The 6808-nt window shown below is 50.2% G+C and overlaps 1 protein-coding gene across 2 annotated transcripts; it reads left to right on the plus strand.

Annotated features, from left to right (window-relative positions):
* Nucleotides 1-2321: 2321 nt before the first annotated feature.
* IZUMO1R (IZUMO1 receptor, JUNO) lies at nt 2322-5888 on the plus strand. 2 transcript variants are annotated; one of them, NM_001199206.4, is made up of 5 exons: nt 2322-2621; nt 3373-3516; nt 4255-4464; nt 4907-5042; nt 5166-5888. In NM_001199206.4, the coding sequence occupies exons 2-5, from the start codon at nt 3379-3381 to the stop codon at nt 5432-5434; spliced, it is 753 nt and encodes a 250-aa protein (NP_001186135.1). In that variant the 5' UTR covers nt 2322-2621; nt 3373-3378; the 3' UTR covers nt 5435-5888. The 2 variants fall into 2 exon arrangements, with proteins under 2 accessions (NP_001186135.1, NP_001380539.1); NM_001393610.1 differs by lacking the exon at nt 2322-2621 and having other exon boundaries at nt 3363-3516.
* Nucleotides 5889-6808: the final 920 nt, after the last annotated feature.

A 6808-nucleotide genomic window follows, 5' to 3' on the forward strand; every position in this document is an offset into this window, starting at 1 on the left:
AACTGAGGCAAGAGCCGATCATGGTCCAGACAGTAAGTAAGGGATGTGAATTCAAGAGATATTTAGAAAGTTAAATCAACAGCTTCGGCGATTGGATAGACATAGAGTGAAGAATAAATTAATATCCCTATTTACCTCCCTAGACAGAAACCAATTAAGAGTTTACATGAGGATGGTCAATCAGGTTTGGGGTGAGAAGAATTCATGAGACCCAGTAAGAACTCTGAATCACTGAAGTCCCCTTCGGCTGGCCTCTGACATCAGATTCTCACCAGGAGACTCCTGGCTCTAGCTCTTCACTTTCGTAGTCTGTTCTCAAATTCAGTGGGGGAGTGACCTCAGGATGGGAGAGGGGAAGGAAGTCATCACTGCCCAGCATCTCCAGTGGCCCCAAACCAGAGCCAAGGCTGGGTTGCTTCACCTACTGCCCTGCCCTCCTTGTCCTCCCTCAGAGCCCGCTGAAGGCTGCTGTACCTCTTCTTTTGGAAACGCAAGTGTTGGTTTTGTTGTGTGTGTGTGTGTTTTAGAATAAAAATTGTCTTGAATCAGCCACTTCAAATTGCTTCATCTACAGTCAGCTTTGACTTATCTGCTTTCAGTCAGAAAACAGATTGCTATGGAAGGCTCAGTCACAATAAGGCAAAAATGAGCTTTGCTCAAGGGTCTCAAGCTGCATCTCCCGAGAGCAGATGCTGGCCGGCCTGATGGTTCTCTGAAAGGCAGCCTCACTCACTGGGTAATTCCTTCCTCCCTCCCTCCCTCCCTCCCTCCACCTGCATATGCGCTGGCTGCAATTTTAGCTCATTTCCTACAGCTTTGTCCTGGAGACTGTTATCAAGCAAGCCGCCCTTCGTCCTTCTTCACACCCTATGAAGGACAGTTGTCAGAGGACCTATTTCCATTTCAATAATTACTCTTGTGATTCATGTCTGGATTCTCGGCTCTGGCACCTCCACAGCCATTTTAAACTGAACCTTAAACCCCAAATCTCTTACCTTATCAATGCTTGGAGCTTCCTGAATATTCATGAGGAACTGAACAGAACATGACAGCCTGCTTCTCCCTCTGTCAGGCTATAGAGATGCTATTACCATTTGGTATCTGACCCTAAGGAGGAGACTCCAGGCTCTGCTTAACGTGGGGACATGGGAGACTGGGTTAATAACTGTCACTGTTCTAGAATAAAGCCAACACACGCCTCCCAATACATGCACAACCTCATTATGGCATTTAACGTTAAAAAAAAAAAAAAAGCAGACCTCACTTGAGACCCAGGCACCCAGGCAGTATCTACTCTTTTAGTCCCGGAGGTTTCTCCCTCACCTGGTCCTTAAGCATTAGATAGGGAGTCGAGAATACCTGAAATTATATCCCAGCTCTGCTACTCACCGCTGAGCCTCAGTTCCCCACAGCTAAAACAAGGAGGGTGTTCATATTGGAGGTCTTTTTGAGACCTCAGATCCTGTAGACAGTACCAGGCCAGTGCCTGGCTCCTTGTTTGTGCTCAGCATTCAGTGGCTGTGATTACCCAGGTGTGGAGAATGTCATTTTCCAACATTAGTATATGCTTTACACATCAGTTGTAGCTGAACACCACAGAATGTATTTTATTCCATTAAAAAAACGCTTTTAGTGTTTTGTTTTCATTTCCTTTGTATCAATAAAACTTCAGTGATTTCAGCTACTTCTCTTTCAGAGAGAGAAAGAGAGGACATATTATAAAAACAAAGAAATATGCTCCTTTTCCAGCATTTTTATCATCTTTGGGACTCTCCCAAGAATCCTATCCAAGTTTCCAATCTCTCCTTAGCTGAAAAGGATAGTCTTGCAAATATGATCACTGCTGAGAACACTTGTAGAATATTTCACAGGACAACGATTCCTGTATGCTAAGGGAGGCTGCTTGGCGGGTTATGGAGGGACTTTCTTTGTTTTGTTTGCTTTGGCTTTGTTTGTATGTTTAAATTCTTGGGTCCCCAAGGCCACACTTCATCTCTGCATCCTGTGTCCTCGGTCTGTGCTCCAGCAGGGACCATAGTTCCTGTGGGCTGTGCGAGGACACTGTCAGAAAAGCCACCAGGTGACTGAGCTGATGCTTGGCTAACAGTGAAGGGGCAGGTAGAGCTACGGAACAGAACATAGGAGGGGCGTGTGGAGAGAGGATAAAAGAATAAAATTTAAAACCATTAAGACTTCCTCTATCCCAGGCACAATGCCAAGGTTTTTGTTCATGAACTTTCTCTTTATTTTTCCAATCCCATAATAAAAACTTCCTTTACAGAGAGAGAAACTGACAGAGAATTTGAGTCATTTTCTCCAGGGCAGCCAGCTAGTAAGTAGCAGAGCTGACAGCCGAACCCGGTAACTTATTGTAGAGCCCCGGATCTTGCCTACGATGGGGTCTGTTTCTCTGAGGAAGCAAACTTCCTCGGAACCCACAGGCCTGCAGAGCTGGGTGAGACAGATGCTGTTTAATGAGAGCCACGTGGAGTTCTCCTCCTGCACCTGGACCTAGTAGAAATCAGACTGGGTAATAAATGGGCGGGACATGGAACTCCCCTCAGCCTCATAGTCTCAGGGGGAGGAGGGAGCAGGAGCACCTGAAGGCTCCTGCCTTGAAAGTGAGTATGAAGAGAGTGCTGGAAGGGGCAGCATCTTTCCTCCTTTTACCTAACAGATCTGATTCTTTAAAAATATTCAAGGCCATGGCTGAGCTTGAAACTGGTTGTCTGGAGAGAGAACAGCCTTAGATTTGGACTTGAGGTTGGGCTCTGAAGAGGGGGGCTGGGCTCTTCTTCCCCAGGATGTTTGAGGCTCTTAGACCAGGGTAGGCTAGAAGTTTCCAGTTTCACCATGATGGGTCCAGGTCAGGCTCCTGCCAGACTTGGGGGACTGGGGGAGCCATGGGCTCCTGGGCTATGAAGGTGAGGGGCCCTGTGTCCTAAGAGGTTGGGTGCTTGAGGCCTGGGGCCCCTCTGCCTTTTGCTTTGTTTTGTCTCTCTTTCCACTACCTCTCATTACCACTACTACCCAGAACAGAGTTGGAAATAGGAAGGGCCCTCCTCCTCATTCCTGTGATGGGGATCAGGCTTTGGATGTAGAAGGCTCCTCCTATCTGACTCATGCCTCGGCATGCCCCTGGCTCTGCAGGGCCAGCAAGGCCTCCAGCACTGTGTCAGGCCTCCAAGGATTATTCTACCTGCCCTGACATTCTGTGATGCTGCCTCCAAAAGAAGGTCCTAGGAGCAGCCAGAGTGTTGCAATTATTTGAGGGAGATTGAAGCCCATCCCCCTTTCCCAGTGCCTGCTATGATGAAGGGGGTGGAGTGGGGTGTCATTTCCATCAAGTGTGCAGCATGGGTCTCTCTGTAGCAGGCCATGGCATGCTGGTGGCCGCTCCTGCTAGAGCTGTGGACAGTCATGCCCACCTGGGCTGGGGACGAGCTGCTCAACATCTGCATGAATGCCAAACACCACAAGAGAGTGCCCAGCCCAGAAGACAAGCTCTATGAGGAGGTACAGAGGCCAGACCTGGGTATGGGATGGGGAAGATCAGGGAAGGGACACAAATGCCAAGATGGTCTCCGAACCTCATCAACCCTGATCATTTGGTTCCTGGGGTTAGGAGTTAAGCAAAGGCAACTAGATGGAAAGAGACTATGCCTTTTTGAGACCATAAGAGCCAAGCGATTCAAAGTTCCCATTTCTGAGCTGCTCTAGCCACTGGGAAAGCAGGGACCGCTGGTGATCCCAGAGATCCATTGTTGACTCGGCACAGATGAAAACAAGCCTTCCTGCCAACAGGTCCTGGGGCAACATATGACTTATGTGACCCCTCCCCAAGCTCCTAAAGGCAATTTCCAGGGATATGGGAGGAAGAACACAGCTGGCATTTGGCCTATGAGACCCTCCCACCCAATGCAACCCCAGATTCCCCTGGGTCTCTCTGGGGCTCTTCTACCTGCTTTGCCCTAAAAGGCTTCTGCTGCCTCTCAGGAGCTGAGAGCCCAGAAGTTGTGTTTCTAGAGGACTGTAGCAGCCTGTGGCAGGGGGTCATTGTGCAGGTGCCTCTGCCCTTTGGGTAAATATTGAGAGATTATCAGGGTTCCTCTTATGTAGGGGCTTACTAGCTAAAGGCATCCCACTTGCTCAGGCCTCCTAAGGGACATTTTCATTTCACCACCTTTCTTCCCTAGACACTTGCCGATCCTTGCCCCTTTTGCCTGGGCCTTTTGTTTCTTCCTCTGCCTTCAGTGCATCCCCTGGAAGGACAATGCCTGCTGCACCCTCACGACAAGCTGGGAAGCCCATCTGGATGTATCCCCACTCTACAACTTCAGCCTGTTTCACTGTGGACTGCTGATGCCTGGCTGTCGGAAGCACTTCATCCAGGCTATCTGCTTCTATGAGTGCTCCCCAAACCTGGGGCCCTGGATCCAGCCAGTGGGAAGCCTGGGGTGGGAGGTAGGAAGCAGATCTGTGCCATGCCCTGTTATTATATTAACAGCCAGAGCTTTCACCCGATCTTATGCTGATGCCGCCAGGATGCTAGTAGGAACAGGAGGTGTTATTTCCCTATGGACAAGAGCAGAGCCAGAGGCCCCTGCTGGAGAATCACATGGGGGAGACTGTTCTGACAACAGTGGGATGAGGGGCTATCACCACAGGAGGCTTGGTGGAGTTGACAGACCTGAGCTTCAGTCTCATGTTCTGTCCCTACCAGCTGTATAGCCCAGGACAAACTATTAAATCTCTTAGCCTCATTGGTATTATTTGTAAAATAACACTTAGAGGCTTTATGGAAGATGATGTACATATGGTACCTGGTACAAATACCACTGTAGCTATTAGTAGTCTTCACATCTCTGCTATTAATGTTCTAATCTCTGGCTATGACTGCACCCAGGTGGCCCCGAGTGGGCAGGGAGAGCGAGTTGTGAATGTGCCGCTGTGCCAGGAGGACTGTGAGGAGTGGTGGGAAGACTGTCGCATGTCTTACACATGCAAATCCAACTGGCGTGGTGGCTGGGACTGGAGTCAGGGTGAGTGGTGCTGACAAGGCCTTGGTCGGGAAGAGGCCCCTTGGTGGTCCCCACAAGGGTGCAGGTGCAAAGGCTAGCAATGAGGGAGTAGGAGGTAAGCTGTCCCTCCTCCATCCCCTGCAGGGAAGAACCGCTGCCCCAAAGGGGCCCAGTGCCTCCCTTTCTCCCATTACTTCCCCACCCCAGCTGACCTGTGTGAGAAGACTTGGAGCAATTCCTTCAAAGCCAGCCCTGAGCGACGGAACAGTGGGCGGTGTCTCCAGAAGTGGTTTGAGCCTGCTCAGGGCAACCCCAATGTGGCCGTGGCCCGCCTCTTCGCCAGCTCTGCCCCATCCTGGGAACTGTCCTACACCATCATGGTCTGCTCCCTGTTCCTGCCGTTCCTTTCCTGAGAGCCCTTCTTCTCCCACTCACATTCCTGCATGTCCACCAACTGTGGGTCAGGCCAGGCCATGGCCTACCTCCTTCCTCAGGCCCTCCCCTAAAAGCAGTGGCATGGGCTAGGGACTGCAGTCCCACCCAGTCTAGCCCATGCCACTGCTTTTAGGGGAGGGCCTGAGGAAGGAAGTGCCCCTGAGGCTTCAGCGGCTGGTGCCTGCAACCTGCACATTTGGTCCGAGACCCCCTCCACTGCTCTGCTCTATCTTAGCTGGCCTAGGAGGCAGCTGGGGGCTGGAAGTGCCAAGGTGACTGGCCACCTCCTGCCTTGAGGGATGGGAGCTTTCAAGGGGCTCAAGGACTTTCCCATCCAGTGCACGCCTACCCCTTTCTGTGACAGAGCTGATGGTGGCAGACCTGGCCTCCCATCCTCCGACGGTGTCTTCAATAAATCGGCACTCAACCTCTCCTCTGCTTGACTTCCTGTGTCTTAGCTTTATGTGCAGGGACCCAACATGCACACAGAGGGAGCCAGTTTGCCCACTGCACTGAAGTCTCAAAGTTAGGTTGTTACTTGCCTAACAATTATTAACTTCTTAATATCTGCCACACATCCTCACAATACCTCTCTGATGGGAGTACTTTCAATGCCCCTTTTTTTTTCAATAAGTGACACCACACAAAGGACCCAAAGCCAGGGCGAGAGGGATGGGGCCACCCAGCACATCAGCTCTATTTTGGCTGCCAAAATTGAAGCAGCTACCTCGACTGCCTTCAGGGTTCCCTCTTCCTTTTAACCCATTCATTTTACCCCCAGAATCACAGCACACTGGTCTAACATTTTGGAAACCCGAGTTCTAATCTGACCTTTTTGCTTTCTATATGACTTTTGGCAACTCCTGTGATCTTCATTAAGACTGCCTTAATTTCTCTCTCTGCTGAAAGGAATGAGTTAGTTGGATTTAACTTATGAAAAAGAAGTAAGAAAAAGGAAAAAGCTAGCAACCTTGTTTGCCAGGAGATAGTGTGTGCTTCTCAGATAGCATACTATCTGAGAAGACCTCAAGAATGAAGTATTAGAACTGAACTGGGGATGGGGCCCTGACCTCGCACCCCAGCTGTAAGTAGACAAGCAGCTGACCTGCCCACCCAGCACTTTCCGGAGCCTGGAGCCGGGCAGCTTCCCAGCAGTAGATGATGCTTTCCCCACAACCTTTTCTTTGACAAAGAGAAAGTTCTAGCATGGCTGCACTTGATTTGACTGGCTTTTCTAACAACTGTCCATTCTTGCCAGACTCCAGCCAGCCCTGCTCATTGCTTAAACTCGGCCTCCATTCCTTCTGCACTCGCCTCACAGGCCCATCCACAGAGCAGATCTTGTCTCAGGG

Source organism: Homo sapiens, chromosome 11 (genome assembly GCF_000001405.40).
Source record: "Homo sapiens chromosome 11, GRCh38.p14 Primary Assembly".
NCBI classification, from domain to species: domain Eukaryota; kingdom Metazoa; phylum Chordata; class Mammalia; order Primates; family Hominidae; genus Homo; species Homo sapiens.

Coding starts and splice junctions, on each gene's coding strand:
- IZUMO1R (NM_001199206.4), top strand. CDS start 3,379: ATGGCATGCTGGTGGCCGCTCCTGCTAGAGCTGTGGACAGTCATGCCC. Junction 3,517..4,254: donor AAGACAAGCTCTATGAGGAG/GTACAGAGGCCA, acceptor CTCTGCCTTCAG/TGCATCCCCTGGAAGGACAA. Junction 4,465..4,906: donor TGGGAAGCCTGGGGTGGGAG/GTAGGAAGCAGA, acceptor GACTGCACCCAG/GTGGCCCCGAGTGGGCAGGG.